Source organism: Homo sapiens, chromosome 9 (assembly GCF_000001405.40).
Source record: "Homo sapiens chromosome 9, GRCh38.p14 Primary Assembly".
Taxonomy (NCBI): Eukaryota; Metazoa; Chordata; class Mammalia; order Primates; family Hominidae; genus Homo; species Homo sapiens.
Window position 1 is genome coordinate 120,940,436 of NC_000009.12, and position 20,276 is coordinate 120,960,711.

The 20,276-nt window shown below is 41.3% G+C and overlaps 1 protein-coding gene and 1 long non-coding RNA gene across 3 annotated transcripts in view, besides 1 other annotated feature; both read right to left on the minus strand.

Moving 5' to 3' along the window:
• Positions 1 to 1,816: 1,816 nt before the first annotated feature.
• On the minus strand, positions 1,817 to 12,396 carry C5-OT1 (C5 3' UTR overlapping transcript 1). Its single transcript, NR_148450.1, has 2 exons — positions 11,757 to 12,396; positions 1,817 to 3,074 (listed from the first exon to the last, which is right to left on the minus strand). It is a non-coding gene; the product is annotated as a C5 3' UTR overlapping transcript 1 (long non-coding RNA).
• Positions 4,411 to 4,460: an enhancer, noted in NCBI's record as "active region_28912". NCBI's record gives its function as "activates an Ori minimal core promoter by ATAC-STARR-seq in GM12878 lymphoblastoid cells {active_cell/tissue: GM12878}" and the evidence as "EXISTENCE:reporter gene assay evidence [ECO:0000049][PMID:35858748]".
• Positions 11,900 to 20,276, minus strand: part of C5 (complement C5) — a 122,531-nt gene continuing 114,154 nt past the window's right edge. For both annotated transcript variants that reach the window (NM_001317163.2, NM_001735.3), the window contains exons 38-41: positions 19,813 to 19,902; positions 16,850 to 16,933; positions 13,295 to 13,433; positions 11,900 to 12,433 (exon numbers count right to left, since the gene is read on the minus strand). In NM_001317163.2, the coding sequence (NP_001304092.1) occupies positions 12,304 to 12,433; positions 13,295 to 13,433; positions 16,850 to 16,933; positions 19,813 to 19,902 (443 nt within the window). In that variant the 3' untranslated portion in view covers positions 11,900 to 12,303. The remainder of the gene's footprint in view (positions 12,434 to 13,294; positions 13,434 to 16,849; positions 16,934 to 19,812; positions 19,903 to 20,276) is intronic.

Genomic DNA, 20,276 nt, shown 5'->3' on the forward strand with positions numbered 1-20,276 from the left:
AATTATGAGTAATAATTACAATTTCCCCCTTTCGAACTATTAATTTATATGTCAGGTTTTTTATATCACACAAAGTACTTCAATAAATTACAGTGGTATTGCTTTATATACCATAATTCTAGATTCATAGTAATTCTAGGCTAATTCCTACTTGATATCTCCACAAGAATGTCTAAAAGGCTTCTTAAACATAACAAAGCCCTGACAGAAATCCTTCTTCTCTTCTGTATTTGCTTGTGAGCACTGGGTAACAAAGTGCCACAAACTGGGTGGCTTGAAACAACAGAGATGTATTCTCACACGGGGCTGGAGGTTAGAAGTCTGAAAGCAGTTTCGGCAGGGTTGGTTTCTTCTGGCCGGCTCTGAGGGCGGACCCGTCCCGTGCCTCTCTCCTGGCTTCAGGTGACAGCAGTGGTTCTTTGCCTTCCTTGGTTTGTACATGCATTACTCCAATTTCTACCTCTGTCTGCATGCGACCGTCCTCTCCCAGTGTCTGCATCTTCACGTGAGGTTTTCTCTGCGTATCCCTGTGTCTACATTTCCCTCTTCTCATAAGGACACCTGTCATTTTAGATTAAGAGCCACCCTATTCCAGTGTGACTTCATCTTACCTTAGCTAATTACACATGCAACAAACTTATTTCCAAATCAGGTCCTACTCTGAGGTACTGTAGATTTGAATTTCAACATATCTTTTTGAGTGACGTAGTGTTCAACCCATAACATCTTCTTTCCTTGTTTTCCTAAATGTGTACCTTCTCCTGTCTTCTCCAGCTGTGTAAATGGCATCTGCAGCAGTGCAAGCCAGGAATCCGTGAGTAATCCTTGACTCCTCTGCATTCATTACCCCACCCTGATTCCTTCAGCAAATCCTCTCAGCACCACTTCCAAAACTATCCTGAATTCATCCCTGTCTCTTCATCTCCATTTCTTCCTTTCTAGTTGAAGCTACTGTTACCTGTCACATGACAATGGCACCAGCTCCTCACTGGTCTCCCCTGACTCTGTTCTCATCTACAACCTGGTCTCATGCCCTTTTGCTTAATACTCTCAACTGCATAGAATCCAAACATCTCACCAGTTCTTACAAAATCCCAGTGATCTGGCCCCTCTCACTTCTCTGACCTCATTGTCCATCACTTGCTTTCTTCGATCCAGCCACGTCAGCCTTCTCGCTGTTCCCTGGACCCCTGGGTCTTTACACGCACCAGCCTGGACCTTCATGTGGTTGTTCCTTCTTGTCAAGAAAATCTCAGCTTAAATGCCACCTTATTTAGTGATATTTGATAGACCTTCCCTAACCATGCAATCTAGAGCAGCCACTGAGTCATTCTATATCATAGAACTTTTAAAAAATTCTCTGCAGAGGCCAGGCGCGATGGCTGACACCTGTAATCCCATCACTTTGGGAAGCCGAGGCAGGCAGATCACTTGAGTTGAGAGTTTGAGACCAGCCTGGGCAACATGGTGAAACCCTGTCTCTACTAAAAGAAGAAAAATTAGCTGGGCATGGTGGTGCGCACCTGTAGTCCCAGCTACTCAGGTGGCCGAGGCAGGAGAATTACTTGAACCTGGGAGGCGGAGATTGCAGTAAGTCAAGATCATACCACTGCACTCCAGCCTGGGCAACAGAGTGAGACTCTACCTCAAAAAGAAAAAAAAAAATTCCTCTGCAGAGAATTTAGTAAATATATTATTTTCCCTCTTTAAGTGGGTATTTATTGTCTTTTTCCTCAATTATAACATAATCTCCAGGAGAGCAGGGACTTTGTTTATCTTGATTACACCATCTAGAACTGTGCCTGGCATGCAGGAGGCACTCAATAAATATTTATTAAATGAATAATCTTCCACAGAAGATCTTTGTGTACCAACTATTTTTTTTTCCTTTTGGGAATTTATATAAATCATTCAACAGGAGAAGGATTACTGGATCAAGAAATATAAACATATTTTGGCTCCTGAAATGCATTGTCGAATTGCTTTGCAGACAGATAAGATCAGTTTTCATTTGTTGGGCAAATTTTCAAATCCCAAGTGCCAAGACAGTGATTTCTGGTATGTGGGAGAGGGGGGAGGGGAAGGGAGAAAGGAAGGAGGGAGGTGGCGGAGGGCAGGCATAGGCCGAATCAGAGCTGCTGTCCCTGGTGGGTCAATGGAACTAGAAGCAGCAGCAGTAGTAATCAACCAAGCAGGCCCACCCTCCACAGCGTCTCAAAGGCCCACGCAGGGCAGGAAAGATCTGCTGTATGAACTTGGGTCTGGCCACAGGAGCCAGAGTGAGCAGAAAAGCTGACAGGAGCACCTGCTCTTCGGCTTGCTGTTGAAATCCTGAAGGCTGGGTCAGGGGCCAATGAGCAAGTGGGAGTGAGGACACAAAGTGAGGCTTGGATCTGGTACTGAAGGCTCCTTTGCAGAGGCTGTTTCTGGGTTGCAGCTACTCTGCTTAGGACACGGGATCTGGAACATTAAGTTACACAAGGACCTCTGTCCATAAACCTCCAGGAACACAGAGGCCTCTTCACGTAGTTCTGCTGCTGCCAGGCCCATTCAGCAGCATGCTGGCCCTGTATTCCTTTGCTTCCTGCTCCGCCACTAGAGCAATGGCATAATTTTTAAAAAGTGAAATAACATGAATAACATTTGCTAGGAACATTACAAAAAAGGTGAAGTTAAAAAAAAGAATCCCTAAGAACTAATACATAGAAGCTGAGAATAAATTAATCAGACTAAGGTACCAGTTGAGTAATCCTTATCCAAAATGCTTGGAACCAGAAGTGTTTCAGATTTCAGATTTTTTTCAGATTTTGGAATATTTGCATATACATACAATAAGATATCTTGGGGATGGGACCATGTCTAAATACAAAATTCATTTATGTTTCATGTATACCTTATATACATCCCCTAAAGGTAATTTTATACAATGTTTTAAACAATGTTTTACATGAAACAAAGTTTGTGTTAAGTACTTATGTGTGGAATTTTTCATTTGTGGTGTCATGTTGGTACTCAAAAAGTTTCAAATTTTGAAGCATTTCAGATTTTGGATTTTCAGATTTGGGATGCTCAACCTGTAATTATAAAATTATGGTAATTAGAAGAAAAAAAGAAAAATTATTAAAACCGTACAAAAGTTAACAGGATGACCCATCCCAGACCTATAGAATGAGAACCTGCACTTTCACAAGCTCTTAAACAACACTTCTGAAACTTTAACATGCCTATAATATTCCTGGATTTTTTTTTTTTTTTTTTTTGAGATGGAGTCTCACTCTGTCACCCAGGCTGGAGTGCAGAGGCGCAATCTCGGCTCACTGCAAGCTTCACCTCCCGGGTTCACGCCATTCTCCTGCCTCAGCCTCCCGAGTAGCTGGGACTATAGGCACCCGCCACCACGCCCGGCTATTTTTTTGTATTTTTAGTAGAGACGTGGTTTCACCGAGTTAGCAAGAATGGACTCGATCTCCTGACCTCGTGATCCACCTGCCTCGGCCTCCCAAAGTGCTGGGATTACAGGCGTGAGCCACCACGCCAGGCCTGGATATCTTATTAAAATATAGATCTCCGAGCTCTGCTCCCAAGATTTTCTGTTTCAGTAGGTCTGGGGTGGGGTCTGGGAATTTGCATTCCTGACAAACTCCCAGGCGGCCAGGGACCACACTTTGTATAGCATTGTTCTAAGGCTGACAGTCCTGAGGACCAAAAGAGGAAGGCAAATGGGAAAATTCGAGGCACTGGAGGAGGTTGTTTTTTAAGATAGTGGTCTTTTCCCAATTTTTAAAAAAGCACACCAGGCAGTCTCTGTCTATGGTATCTTAGCACAAAGATGCTTTTTGTTTTTAATGCTATGTTTATATTTGTGCAAGATTCTACATTTTAAAATTTCTCTCACTTGTTGGATCTTATTTCATCCTTGCAACAAATCTGTAAATTGGGTTGGGGGAAATTCTTTCATTATTTTTAAAAGATAGAACTGAGGCCTAGAGAGTTAAGACAGCTGGAAATCACACTCCAGCTGACTGCCACAGATTGTGGGCTCCTGAGTTGGCACTAAGGTGTTTTTCCTAATCATTATAACCCATTAGGGCTGATAATGTTACTTCCGCTTTCTAGATGGGCAAATTGAGACTTGATGAGGTTCAGGAACTCTCCCAAGGCCACAAGTCAGGGCAGCTCCTCTGTTTCATGGTTCAATGTCTTACTTCTTCACTGTATCACTTCCCCATACTAACTCCTCCTTTCTCTCTCTGTCTGTCAGTCACACACACACAACATAGCCAAATCAGTGAGCCATTTTAATTTCGACACCCAGCATTTATTTAATGAACAGACCACAGTTTGGCCTTTCGCCTTTAGAGGTGAAAGGAGGAGGCAAGAAGAGGATGAATGACGACCAGCCTTGCCCCAAGGCCCTAACAGACTCAGGAAACCTTTCTGCCTTCTCCTCCAACTCTAAGCATATCTCCTTTCCCTTCCTCTTCCTTTGCCCTCAGAGAATTACAGTCTAGTCCTGGCTCTAATTTCCTAAAGGTTCTTTATTTGGAAAATATATTATTAAGCCAAACAATCCTTTCCTTAACTCCAATTTCTCTTGTCTCATTCAGTTTCAACCCCCCTCCCACCGACCACCCTTCCAACACCAACACACACACACACACACACACACACACCCCTCCAGCCTAACAACAACAACACCAAAACCCTCTGATTGCTCCCAACTCATCTGTTAGACATGTTAGCCCTGGCCCTCACCACCAGGCTCGGGTCTCTGCTTGCCCCTGCAGGCAATGTTTCTATTAGGCCCTGAGGAGACACCAGGCTGCATATAGGAAGGCAGAGGAGCCTGGTGCTGCGGGTTCTAGCCCCAGCTCTGTTGTGGAACCCTCTTGGTGAGTCCTGGCTCCTCCCTGGGCCTGCTTCCTGGTCTGTGAAATGGGGAGGCATTGATGAGATGATCTCTAGAGGATCTTTAAATGTCAATATTTTATGAATCTAAGTAGGATGTTCACAGGTAAAAAATTATTGAATTTACCACCTCTAGTGTGCCAGAGAGGTATTATTACCCAGCCACAAGTTACTTTTATTGTGCCAGGCACTGTGCTAATCATTTTATGTGCATTATCTGTATTATCTCATTTGAGCCTTGCAGAAATCCTCTGACTTGGGTATTATTAGTACTTCTGTTTTTCAGATGTGAAAACTTCACCTTTTTATTAAAGCAGTCAAGTAGATGTTTTCTTGACTATTAAAAGTCTCTCAGCACTGAAGGGACATTAAGCCCCCTACCTTGAATTGCCCAGAAACATCCCTGGAAGGTGGCAGCTAGACTCTGCTCAGATGGCCCCAGCAATAAGGAACTTGGACCTGACTCTACTTTTGAATGGCTATGGCTATAAGAAAATGCTTCTTCACAGGGAGCCAAAACTGGTGTCTCTGTAACTCCTGCTCATCTCAGTGGTGGGAAGAATGCGGTGTTCAGAGGCCTCACTTGGGCTTCTGTCCTGGCCTTTCCATTTATCAGCACCATAATCCTAGACAAGCTGCTCCTCTGGACCTCCATGTTCACAGGCAAAAAATGAAGGAATCGGATGAGATGAGCTCTAGGTCCTTTCTGGTGTGGGCATTTTAGATTTGTATAATTCATGACTGTGCATGTAACATACACATATCTGACTATAATGATGGAAACAGAGAAGGAGTGGAATTTTGGTGGCGGGGGGCCTCTGTCAGGTATGAGGCTGTGAGCATGGTGTGTGTATGTGCATGTTTCTGGGACAGGGGTCTGTGAAAGAGAAGAGTGGCCCTGGACAACTGGCGTGAGGCCTCGGTGTCCCTGGGAGCCAGTCTGGTGCCCAGAGCCAGGCTGGGGTGTTCTCTGTGTCTGATGTCATAGAACATCAACATCAGACAAAATGGATCCATACTAAAAACGACTACTCTATAATCATGTTTGAGCAGGATATAAAAACAAGAACATTGTCCAAACCACAAAAATGACCACACACACCCTTTTCCTGGCTAAAGTGAGTAAGTGCTGCTACTTTTCCTCCCAGCTAGAAAAGAAATAAGATACTGGGTCATAGGATTGCCCCTGCTTCCTGAAAGCATCCAATCCAGAGTAAAGTTCCATTTCTTTGAGGCTCCTCCCAAATACTCTATCACAAGTACAAATCCTATAATAAGGCTTTTCTAATGCACTCTCACCGAGAAGCCTTATGGTCCCCATGGTGTGTGTTCTCCCTTGTTGCAAAGACTCAATAAACTGAAACTTGTTCAGTTCCAGGTATTCCTGGTTGTCTTGATTGGAGGGAATTGATAAGTCTATAGCTTTCATTAGATTCTGAAAAGGATGTGTATGTGGCTGGAGAAAATCCCACAACCCATGCTGATCAGTCCCACTTTAAATTCATGACTAGAAACTTCAAGTGGACCCTTAATACGAAGAAGCAAATATATTACAAGTCCTTAGTTGGTTCAGCCTCCCTCTCTTTTAGATAACTGTCTCACCCTTCTTTCCTCCCGTCACACCTCCAATTGCTCCTCCCTATCCTCCATCTCAGGTGATGATCTTCATCCTACTTCTCTGAGAAAGGGACTTCCACAGACTCTCACCACATCTACCCCTTGCCAGCGTCTGCTGCATGTGCTCAGCTTCTCTGCCTACAACCATGGGTCATGGATCAGGGATCGGTATGCTGCTGCCCAAGGGCTAAATCCAGCCTGCCTAGTCCATGCCCATTCTTTTCTGCATTATCTATGGCTGCATTTGTGCTACAATGAGAGAGTTGAGCAGTTGCAATAGAGACTTATGAGAATTATGGCCCACAAAGCCTAAAATATTACAGTTATTTTAATGCATGGCTCTTTACAGAAGTTTGCTGACCCCTGGCATAGGTGAGCTAGTCATGTTCTTATTTAAAGCCAAGTCCTCCACTTGTGCTCCAGATCCTATCCACTCTTACCTCTTCAAGGACATTACTCTAGTAGTTCTCCTTTCTCTCTCCTGCATCGTCAATTATTTACTCTTTACTGAGTCATTCCCTTTAGAACACAAATGTGTTATTTCTTCCGTCTTAAACTTTCCTTCACTCTACTCCCCTCAATCCATTTCTTTGCTCCTTGAATGAGTTGTCCATACTCCCTGTCTCCAAATCCTCTCCTCCTATCTACTCTTAAATCACTCTATTCAGGCTATTCTTCCCACTACTCCACCCAACCTGCCCTGTCAAAGTCACCAATGCTAAACCCAACAGCCAAGTCTTCATCTTACTTCTCTCTGAAGCATTTGATACAGTTCAACACTCTTCCTCCCAGAACCTCTTTCTTTTGTTTGGCTTGAGGGGACCTCATCTCTTGTTTTTTCTCCTAATTCAATGGATCCTCTATCTCTTTTCTCTAATAACTTCATCTTGGAATGCTCAAAATGTCTATCCTTGGTCTTCTTTTTTTCCACTCCTCTGTCTGTATTCACATCCTTAGTGATCTTAACTAGTCTAATGGTTTTAGTATGCTGATGATTCTCAGATTTATGTTTTTCAGCCCAGAGCTCTCTCCTGAACTAGATAACTATATGACCAATTGCCTTCCAGGCTCCTTCACTTGGATGTTTAATAGATTTCTTCTAAAATTCAACACATCCAAAACTGAACAGATTCCTAACTCCCCACAACCTGCTCCATCTGCAGCCTTCCTAATCTCAGGCAACTCCATCTTTCCAGTTGTTCAGGCCAAAAGTCTTGGCATCATCCTTGACTCCTTTCTTTCTCTCACACTTATTTCCACTCTATCAGGGAATTCAGTTAAACCTACAATATTAGTCCCTTCAATTAAGCCTACTGTATTAGTCCCTTTTGTATTGCTATAAAGGAATACCTGAGGCTGCATAATTTATAAAGAAAAGAGATTTGTTTGGCGCACGGTTCTGCAGGCTATACGGGAAGCATGGTGCCAGCATCTGCTTCTGGTGAGGCCTCAGGAAGCTTACAGTCATGGTAGAAGGGAAAAAAGAGCCTAAGTGGCACATGGTGAGAGAGGAAGCAACCAGCTAGAAGGAGGTGCCAGGCTCTTTATAAACAATCAGATCTCGTGGTAACTCACAGAGTAAGAACTCTCATTACCATGGGGAGGGCACCAAGCCATTCACGAGGGATCCACTCCCATGGCCCAAACATCTTCCACCTCGCCTCACTTCCAACACTGGGGATCACATTTCAACATGTGATTTTGGGGGACAAATATCCAAACTGTATCATTTACTTTTAAAGTATATCCAGAATTCAACCACTTTTCAATACCTCCACTGCTACCACTCTGGTCTGAGGCACCATCATCCCTCACCTAGTTTATTACAGTAGCCTCCTATCCGTTCTCTTTACCCTTGCCTTATTTTCAACAGCAGTTACAGTAGTCCTTTAAAAAGGCAAGACAGACCATGTCACTCTTCTTTTCAAAGCCTTGCAATGGCTCCTGTTTCCTTCCAAGTAAAGCCAAAGCCTCTTCCATTGGCTTCATAATCTGCACCTGCCACCCCTGCTTCCTTGCTTTTCCTGTGACACACCAGCATGCTCCTGCCTTAGGCCGGACACTATGTACCAAGAGTGCCAGGAACACTCTCCCCTTGGCTAGCTATGTGGCTCACTCTTTCACATCCTTCAAGTCTTTGCTCAAATTTCACCTTCTCATTGAAGCCCACCCTGACCTGGCCACCCTATTTAGAACTGCAACCCCTCCCCTGACCATTACCAGTCTCCTTTAGTCTGCTTTTTCTTTTTCCCATTGCTCTTATCACTTTCTGAGATCCAAGACTAATTGCTTAATTATTCTCTTTATTTTTTATTACATATCTCTCCCAGTTGGAATCTATGTTCCACAATGGCAGGGATCTTGGTACCAAGCACCTAGAATTGGGCCTAGCCTGCAGTCACCAATCAATACATGTTTGTTGGGTGTTGCTGAATACATCAGCATCATAGGGTCTGGAAAGAAAGACTAAACATGACTTTGGTCCAGAATTTCTCACTGAGAAATATGGAGCAAGGCTGCTTGCCTCAACCTTGGCTCACAGACCTCCACGTGTTTTCTTAAGACAGAGTATCTTAAACGTCAATCATTTGCATGCCAACTGCATGATTTTTGCCCTAAGAATAAACTTACTTTTATTTACTCAATACTTTTTCTTAAATAGACTTACTTCTTGGAAAATAGATTTATTTTGGAAGAAAATGTTACATCATGGCTTTGATGTGCTAATTACTTTTTTAAAATACATGTTAAAATAAACATATAGCCACTAAAGTGAACAATGTGCATCGTATCACCTAAGAACATCTTGCTTACCCCTGGGGAAACCTGCCTTAAGCGTTGCCCCTTAACCAGAAAGGCCTTCCCTGTACCTCCCACCTACCCAAATCCCAGTGTCCTTCTACAGAAAGCCTTGGCAGCTCTTCCAGCTTACTTCTCTGCACTGTCTCCATACTTACAGACAAAATATGTAAGCCCAGGCCGGCCATAGTGGCTCACGCCTGTAATCCCGGCACTTTGGGAGGCCAAGGGAGGTAGATCACCTGAGGTCAGGCGTTCGAGACCAGCCTGACCAACATGGCGAAAACCTATCTGTACTAAATACAAAAAATTAGCTGGGTGTGGTGGCACATGTCTGTAATCCTAGCTACTTGGAAGGCTGAGGCAGGAGAATTGCTTGAACCCGGGAGGCGGAGGTTGCAGTGAGCCGAGATTGCGCCATTGCACTCCAGCCTGGGCAACAAGAGCAAAACTGTGTCTCAAAAAAAAAAAAAAAAAAAAAAGAGAGAAAGAAAGAATGAAATACATAAGCCCAATATTTGGATGCTTATATGCCGTTTGGTTTTTCCTGTTTCACATCATAAGATTATAGAACATCTTCTTAGCTATAGATAAAAGAGACATTAGAGTGTCCAATTCCCTTATTTTATAGGCTATCAAAGAGATTAAGAGGCTTGTCCCAAATCACTGCCAATTAGGGCCAAAGCCAAGACTAGAACTTGGGTCTTCTGATTCTCTACACTGTAGGGGAATCCACAAACACTTATTGAGTCCCTATGATGTGCCCGACATTGTGCCAACTACAGGAGATACTGGCGAATAGAACAGACTCAGACCTTACCTAAGTGGAGCTTTCAGTGTGGTCACGCTAAACTAATAATTCAATCTGATTAAGTAAATCATTGCAAGAGCACAAGTGCCTTGGAGGAGAAGTGCAGGGTTGGGTAATGGGCCCAGCCTGGTTTGGAGGGTCACAAAAGCCTCACTGAGAAAATATGTTCAAATGCATAGGAGTTAGCTGAAGAGGAGCTGGCAGATATTTTAAATGGTGCCAGGCTAATTCACAAAACCTTCTTTGATATTTGACAGCTGCATTGTGGGTTAATTAGGCCACTGTGGCCTGCCCTATTTGCCAAAGTGCTCAGGAAAAGGCAGTCAGACTCCTGTGCCTTCGAAGCAGCACCAGTGGTTCCCTCCTCCCAGCAAGGAAGTGACAGGAGACACCGAGAGGCCTGCTCTGGAGAAGGTCTCCTCACCCCTCGCTGACAGGGAGTGTGGGCATCTTGAACATGACACATTGGTTGTTTTTGCCAAGGGAGTGCCTACAATGTGAGCTTTGACATTAGAGAAAAATAAGTCCTTAGTCCCTGGAAGTGGAAAATCTTAGTGTTATTTACAAAGGCACACTACAAGGCCTTGTGTAGCTTCACCTAACTAGTAAAAAGCAGACTCTTCAAAAGGAGATGCATTCCAGTCTCTGTTAATTACCGTTACATCCGGAGGTCATCTTCATGTTTCCTGTGATAGTTCAGTGGGGCTGGTTAATCTGTGTCTAAGAAACTTCTACTATATCCTGCCTTACTGTTAGAAAATTCAACCCAACAAGCAATATGTAGTGATGTGGAACAGAGATGTATTTAAACTGAGATAGAGTCTTGGGGTTTGATTTCCAATTCTTTTCCTTACTAGGTTGGGAAAACTGCTTTACTTTTCTGAACCTCAATTTTCTTTTCTTTTTCTTTTTTCTTTTTTGAGATGGAGTCTCACTCTGTCACCTAGGCTGGAATGCAGTGGCATGATCTCGGCTCACTGCAACGTCCACTTCCTGGGTTCAAGTGATCCTCCTGCCTCAGCCTACTGAGTACCTGGGATTACAGGCTTGCTAAATTAGCCTGGCTAATTTTTATATTTTTAGTAGAGATGGGGTTTCACTATGTTGGCCAGGCTGGTCTCGAACTCCTGACCTCAAGTGATCTGCCCGCCTTGGCCTCCCAAAGTGCTGGGATTACAGGCTTGAGCCACCATGCCAGGCCTAAATCTCAATTTTCTTATCTGTAAGATGGGGATGATAATGATAATAATTTCTGAATCTTGTGAGAGGCTTGAGACATTAAATGAGAATATATGCGAGAGCTTTTTAATATGATCTGAAGTGCTGCAAAATGTCACTTAAAAATTAACTTCTGTTATGTATCCTCTTTTATAAAGCTCAAATTGAGGCTCAGAGAGAGACCTGGTTAGGGCTGGAGAAAGGTCTCCCGATCCGCCACTCAGTTTCTTTTCACCAGGTTGCTGCACTGGGGCCTGTCTTTTAGTAAAGCAATTGTTGGCGAGAGCAGGTTCCTGGGGGAAATGAACATGTGCCGGAAGGGAGGGAAAGAGAGTAGAGGGTCTCCCTTCAGGGGTATGGAGAGGGCAATGGACGGGGAGGGGGCAGGGACAAACCCACCTACCTTCTCAGTGCGCTGAGGGCTCTGAGGCTAAGCCCGCTCAAGGTTAAGGTTCTCTACTGCTGACTTTCTCCATCTCTCTCAATTTGCCTGTCTTTGTGTGGTTGAAGCTGATCTAGCATAAAATAACAGGCTTTTTAGCACAGTTTGAAAGCAAACTCAGGCTTTAATGATCAGTTTCCTGTTCCTTGGTATTTTCTTTCAAGCAAAGGCCATGTTTTTGTAATACTCCCTTTCAATGGACTGTTCTTTCGGCCCCAGCAAACATTCCTGAGTGGTAGGTTTGAGGAGGTGTTCCAATTTATTGTTTCCGGTGTCCAATAACCTTGGAGGAGTATCTGTCTTCATGCCCTCCAAGGCCATGTTATTTCAGAAAGTTACAGCATTTGAAATCATTCTCTAATAAAAGCAAGTGCCACTAATTCTAAGTAAAGTGAGCTTTACAAATAAGACCAGCTATGAATGTTTAAAAAAAGAAGAAAACAAAAAAACGAACTTCAACAACAGGAGTCCATAAGTGCAAACTGTATGCAGCTGAACTTCAGGAATTTTAGCATCCATTTAAAAAGATATCTTCGGCAAATTCATCTAAATTAGCTAAAAATGCTTGACACGATGAACATGTTGTGTCTCTAGGCCAGTATTCAATCCAGGTCAAGGAATCTAAAGGGTAGATGTACCTACCAAGAAACAAAGTGTTTGTGAGGTGGCCACAAAACAGAAAAGCTGAATTTGATTTCTTTATTTTTTTTTGAGACGGAGTCTTGCTCAGTCGCCCATGCTGGAGTGCAGTGGCGTGATCTCAGCTCACTGCAAGCTCTGCCTCTCGGGTTCACGCCATTCTCCTGCCTCAGCCTCCCGAGTAGCTGGGACTACAGGTGCCTGCCACCACGCCCGGCTATTTTTTTTGTATTTTTAGTAGAGACGGGGTTTCACCGTGTTAGCCACGATGGTCTCGATCTCCTGACCTTGTGATCTGCCCGTCTTGGCCTCCCATAGTGCTGGGATTACAGGTGTGAGCCACCGTGCCCAGCCTGATTTATTTTATAAGAGCCCAGCTGTGGTCAGGTCCCCAGGGGTCAGGCTGTCCGCCAAACTCTTCTGTACCGGCCTCTCCTGGGGAGGGTTCACAAACCCTTAAGGAATTGTAAAGCTGCCTGGGGCTCCCATATTAAAGGCAGAAAGTACATCTATTTCAATGACTAGTTTCTAAAAGCAGATAATACAATACATATTTACACATTTTCCTCTTTACAAACAGTCTGAGAACTATCAAGGGAGCTGGTGTGGTGGTTAGGGGAGGTCCGGTGAGTACTTTCAGATTCATCATCAGGTCCAGACACTCAGATGGTTAATCAGGCAGCTAAGTCCTCAGCTGCCACGATGGTTTTAAATCATTCTTTGCTTGACATTAATATTATTTAGTTCAAAATGGTTTGTTGGTTAAGAGCAGGGCCATAAGAAACACGTAGTGTATTTAAGAATAAATTATACTCAGTTTTGGAGGGAAGATCAGTGACTGAAAAATATTGGTGACTTACCTGAAACTGAAATTGTATTTTATCTGGAGGGCTTCTTTACCCATAATTAAGTACTGTCTTCCTTTTACCAGCTCAGCGTTAGTACAGGTTACCTTTTTAATGAAGGTAATCTCAGAGTCTTTCTCAGCAACAGCTTCCCCTGAGAGACATGCAAGTCAAGTAAGGTTATACCATTCATGTTTTAATGTCACAATTATAAACTCTCAAGTTTTCTGGTTCCTCGTGGCTATTGAGAGGTTCATGGCTAGTGGACAGCCGTGATATCCATGTGGTTAAGGCTTCAGTCTCTGGAGCCAGACTGCCTGGGTTAAACTCTAAGCATGCTGCTTCCTGGCTATGTGACTCTGGGAAAATGATTTATGTTATCTGTATAAGGCCTTAGACCCTCATCTTAAGACTGGGCATGATAATAAAACCTACCTTGTAGAACCATCGTGAGATTAAATGAGTTAATACATGAAAAGTGCCTGGAACATAGTAGGAACTATGTAAGTACTTATTATTACTCTTATATAACCAGAATTAAAAGAACCTCTCTACAGTTGAACAACATTAATCTCCACATTATATAGTAAAATATAAAATTATTTGGTATTTGGCAACTGTTAACTTTGTGGAAAAGTACAAAATGTGAAAGACTTGGAAAACTTCAAAGATAGTAATTTTGGGATTCTCAAAGAACTCACAAGTAGCCAGTTCCCCTACCTGGAATGCATTCCTCCCCATGTTGGCCTCTTGAATTTCATTTATCTTGAAAGTCTCCTTCAATTCTCACAGTATCCAGTAAAATATTCCTGGATGCTCTTTGTTTTAAATATCTTTCTGTCTCCTCTTTACCTCTTTTACACTTGAATTTCTGTCACAATTTTTTGTCCCACATCTGTCCTTCTAGCTAGACTAGAAACTTCTTAAGGCATGGACTGTGTCTGATTTATCGCTATATATACAGGGCTGATATTTAACTATTAAGTTCTGGCAGAGTCATCTTAATTGTTAAGTCCTGAAAAACTTCTGAACCAATTGGCAAATAGTGTATAATAGAAACTGTGTAAATGGTAAACTTTCATTAGTGATATAAATTTCAGTGTACACCCATTAGTTCAAGCTGATTTCTTAGGCTGCCCTGATGGTGTAGATTCCTATTACGTCAATATCTGAGCAACATTACCAGTACTATCTGCCATTTCAGCCCCTGTCATAGTAAGCAGTGTAGCTGTGTGGGGCCTTATTATTTTTTAAGCTTCTCATCATGGAAAATTTAAAGTATATTCAGAAGAGAGAACAGGCAACTACCCTGGGCTTCAACAATAACTAAACTTTTATTCTTCTATATCCTTACCTATTCTAAGCACTCTGTGCTTTGGAGAAATACCAATTTATCCTTATCCTCAAACTACAGTTTGCCCTTGATTCTAAATGGCTTATGGTCACTGTGCCACAATTCTTCTGTAAGTAGTGTGTGGTATTTTTATATTTATAAAAATTCAAAATTTATGTGTTAAAAATGGGCCCAGAATGAGGAGATGAAGTATGCCAATGTTTCTTAACATTTCCTTTTAAATATCATAAAATGCATCTTTGGATCTACAGGAGAACAAAGAAGAAATGATACTAATAAAAAAATTGTAGCTTGGGAACCATCCGATGCTATGAAAAATTCAGAACAGTCTAAAATGTCTTTTGATACTATGCAAGAATCAGTATCAAATAAAACAAATAATTTGTATTTCTGGAATGAAAAGCACTTTGTTATTTCAGTAAAAAGAGAATGGCTTATTACTGCTTGTAATATGAACATTGGATGAAAATGTTGCTCAAAAGTTGGACTGTGGCAACATCAAAGTTCTAAACACTTATTTCATTAGAATGGCAACTAGCCTGCAAATTAAAAAATTGTGACCATCAATGAAGAAAAAAATAAAATAACTTCACAAATAAGTTTCATACAATGAAACTTTCAAAATAACAAAAATTTAAAAAAAATTATCAAAGTGTTGATAAAGCAAATACAAAATTGAAAAATATTACTAGAATTTTAAACTCTAGGGTATGGTTAGTAATAATCAAGCTGGGAGGCTGAGGAGAGAGGATCCCTTGAGCCTAGGAGTTTGAGACCAGCCTGAACAACATAGTGAGACCCCGTCTCAAAAGAAAAAAAATCAAGCATTTTAGGACTTGAAATATTTGATAGAATTTCAAAAGAGAAAAAAATTTAGTATAAACATATTATTGCAATTTAGCTTTATGGTCCTACTTATTGCAAAATTTATATCAATCGAAATGAGGCCAGGCACGGTGGCTCACACACGTAATCCCAGCATTTCAGGAGGCTGAGGCGAGTGGATCACTTGAGCCTAGGAGTTCAGGACCAGCCTGGCCAACATGTAAGACCCCATCTCCGCTAAGATACAAAAATAAGTCAGGCGTGGTGGTGCATGTCTGTAATCCCAGCTACTCAGGAGGCTGAGGCAGGAGAATCACTTGAACCTGGGAAACAGAGTTTGCAGTGAGCCAAGATCGTGCCACTGCGCTCCAGCCTGGGTGACAGAGTGAAACGTCATTTCAAAAAAAAAAATGTAATCCCATTCACAATAGCCACACACACACAAAAATGCCTAGGAATACAGCTAACTAGGGAGGTGAATGATCTCTACAATGAGAATTACAAAACACTGCTCAAAGAAATCAGAGATGACACAAACAAATGGAAAAACATTCCACGCTCATGGATAGGAAGAATTAATATTGTTAAAATGGCCATACTGTCCAAAGCAATTTACAGATTTAATGCTATTCCTATCATTTTTCATAAAATTAGAAAAAAACATTTTAATATTCATATGGAACAAAGAAAGAACTTGAATAGCCAAAGGAATTCTAAGCAAAAAGAACAAAGCTAGATGCCTCCTACTACCTGATTTCAAACTATATTACAAGGCTACAGTAACCAAAGCAACATGTTACTGATACAAAAAAAGACACGTAGACCAATGGAACAGGTTACAGCACCCAGAAATAAAGCCACTATCCTAAGTGAATTAACACAGTAACAGAAAACCAAATATCACATATTTTCACTTATAAGTGGGAACTAAACAGTGAGTACACATGGACACAAAGAAGGGAACACTAGACAGCAGAGCCTACTTGAGGGTAGAGGGTGAGGATTGAAAAATTACCTATTGGGTACTATGCTTATTACCTGGGTGACAAAATGATCTATATACCAAACCCCCAAAACATGCAATTTACCCATGTAGCAAATTTGCACACGTATCCCCTGAACCTAAAATAAAAGTTGTAAAGAAAAAGAAATTGGACAATTACGCAATTGAAAAAAACATTTTGCTGAAGTTTTAGAAAAATGAATTCAATGAGAAATATTTATACGAACATCTTTAAAAAATGTTTCTCCCCAAGTAGAATATAAGCTTTAAAAAGGCAAGAGCTCTGTCTTATTTGAGTTGTATCTTCTGTGTTTAATATAATGCCTGGCACATAGTCAGTACTAAATAGTTGCTGAATGAAGGAACGAATGAACGAATGAATTCTCACCAGTTTTGTAGATATCCAGAAGGGTTGCCTTGTACTTGACAAAAACATTTTCTACAGTGATGGATGTGATGCTAACTTTATAAGCTGGCAAAAGACAAACAACAATGAAACAATTCAGTCTTAATACTATTAATGCTATGTCCAGTAGAAGCCAGAATTTGTCAAACACGAGAAATGAAGCATGGCAAACTATTATAGTTCTTATTTCCTCCAAGAAGCCTTCCCCAATCCCCTCAGTCTGATTCAATCTCTCAATCTATTAGAATCATTAGCCCTGGCCAATGTTATAGAACAGGCTGATTAGAATAAGAGACATATTTAATAAAATAACAGAAGCACATAAAACAAACAAACAAGATAAACCTTTGTTAGATGTTAAGTTCAGAGGCTGATCCTTTAAGATGAGTGGAGTCATGCCCATGGGCATCTTTTGAAGAGCCCCTTCATTCTCTTCTCCATGGCCACAGAGGAGGCCTTATCTCTCATTCAGGTCTACCATGTGAGCTTTCTTGGTTCCTTGCTTTGCTTCCTCATATAGTTCCACTGGCTTTAATCCTTGGTTTTTAGGATGATTCTGTTTTCTCACTCACCCTTGCTTGGCAACTACCTAACAAGAGCTGCCTACAATCCTGTTTTCCCTTCATTCAGATATCAATGTTTGATGCATAATGTGCTTGACCTCAGGTCTGGAAAGACCAGCTTGAAGGGACCCATTCTTTCTATGTGGCCTCAGGAGAGATTTATTTTATTTTTGCTTTTGATCTATTTTTTGTTTTGAAATTAGTGACCTAAAAGATTTGTTCATTCTAGATATCCCTCAAGTCTTTAAGTCTATCCCAGATATAGATTGACTGATTGAGAGGTAGCTAGGTGAACTCATCATGGCAGAACCAGGGGCTATGTAAATTAGTGGCTTAAAATGCATGAAAAGTGTTCTGACTTTCAGATTCATAAGTCTTTATAATGGACATGGGCAATGTACTTACTATGTGGGCCTGGGTACAGAGAGAGAACTACTTAATTTTGTTTCTATTCTGTTATTCTGGCTTGTAGTCCAGAAAAAGCCAGCGAAGTCTTTTCTTGAAACAACACAATAAACCCAAATTGCATTTATTCTCTGTGTTAAAATAGATTTCTGATATTTTAGATTTAAAATAGTTCTAAAATGGAGGGAAGAAATAATTTAGTGGAACTTTTGTTTGTTAAAACAATATAGTATTCTCAAGTCTTCATGTATTTAACAAACTGCAGTGGGCCTAGGCTGAGTCAGGCAGCTTTTTAGCTTTTTTTTTTTTCCAAAATCAATATAAATTCAAAGAAAGAAAAGTTATTAACCATATAAAACTTATTCTGTTGCCTGAATTACTATTAAGAGAATTCAGTAGACTTCGATGGAAAAAATACTGGAGATCAGGATGCATCTTAATTCTATTACTTGCTTTCTGCATGACCTTGAGCAAATTATTTAATCTCCCTGAGCCTCAGTTTCTTCACTGGTAAATAGTGATAATACTCTGTTACATTTTTTTTTTGACAGGGTCTCACTCTGTCACTCAGGCTGGAGTGCAATGGCTTACTGCAATCTCCACCTCCCAGGCTCAAGCGATCCTCCTACCTCAGCTTCCCAAGTAGCTAGGACTACAGACATGAGCCATCAACGCACAGCTAATTTTTGTATTTTTTGTAGAGACAAGGTTTTGCCATGTTGCCCAGGCTGGTCTAGAACCCCTGAGCTCAAAGTGATCCACCTGCCTCAGCCTCCCAAAGTGCTGGGACTACAGGCATGAGCCACCGCACCCAGCCCTCATGAAGTTCTTACGAGACCCTTTCCGTAAGAATGAGAACCCTTTCCATTGCAATGAGAAACTGTTTATGGAAGCTGTTGCTAAACACAAAGTACCAAATTGGCTGTGTTTATTTTTTTAATTTATAAATAACACCCTTCAAATTTCTTTCTTTCTTTCTTTCTTTCTTTCTTTCTTTTTTTTTTTGAGACAGAGTCTTGCTGGTGTTGCCCAGACTGGAGCGCAGTAGCACGATCTTGGCTCACTGCAACCTCCTCCTCCTGGGTTCAAGTGATTCTCCCGCCTCACCCTGCTGAGTAGCTGGAATTACAGGCACGCACCACTATGCTTGGCTAATTTTTGTATTTTTAGTAGAGACAGGGTTTTGCCATGTTTGCCCCAGGCTGGTCTCAAACTCCTGACCTCAGGTGATCCACCCACCTCGGCCTCCCAAAGTGCTGGTATTACAGGCATGAGCCACTGCGCCCGGCTCCACCCTTCCAATTTCAAAATGAAAAAATGATTTGAGATAGTGTACAATATGCTCTCTCTCTCTCAAAAAATGCCAGCAATAAACATCAAAAACTGAATAGATAACAAAGGAGCTAATTTTATCAGGAACTGAGACAAGGCTACAACTGTACTTGAACACTAATTTAGCTCTAAGCGCTGGACAACTAGAAGCACTGAGATTTGCTTTTTCAAATGGAGAGTGTCTCAAACATGGATTGCAATCTTGAATATATTAAAAATTATTTGGTATTTATATTTTTACCCTGAAGATATTTTTTTAAAAACCAAGCCCCCTAAATCACCTTTGCCTCTGCCTCTGGTCTATCAATTGGAAGAGTACAGAACTGAAATCTTATACCTCTGTGGCTTCTCAAAAGTTCCCTTTGACTATGTTTTAGTGCCTGTAATTGAAAAAGCTCTATTGTGGGAAAGTATCCTGGCTGGGTATACATGTCACTTCTATTATTTATAATGAAAATCACATTTCTTTGCTGAGGAATAAAAACTTTGCATGTTAATGCTAAAAATCGATGGCATTTTCCTTCAGGGGATCACATGGAATGTTGTATTCATATAATCACTATATAAAGTTTTTGATCTTTCTAACTGAACACATATTCATAAAATTTCATGTTTAAAGGAGCTATATTGAACTTTTGAACTCACCATATGCAATCTCTGGTTTACATGCTGTTTGTTTTCTTGTCTCTGCAGAGATTGTCAGATCCAATTCTTCCTGCATTTGCCCACAATCAGCTGGATTTTGTGAAAATTGGTAAAAATAAGGTTAATGGAAAGAAGTAGACACTCTTTCCAGGAGTAAACACGGTTTCTCATGAGCCCAGAGACAACCCAATATAACCTTACAAATGTCAGATTTCTAAGACCTGCCCATTTTCTTTTCTTTCATAAAGTGAAATATTACATAAAGAAAACAAAACAAACAAAAACAAAAAACAAAATCTTGAGCATGTCACAAGCTTGTCTAACCCATGGCCCGTGGGCAGCACACAGCCCAGGGCAGCTTCGAATGCGGCACAACACAAATTCGTAAACTTTCTTAAAATATTATGAAATTTTTCTTGTGATTTTTGTTTTAGCTCATTAGCTATTGTTAGTGTTAGCGTATT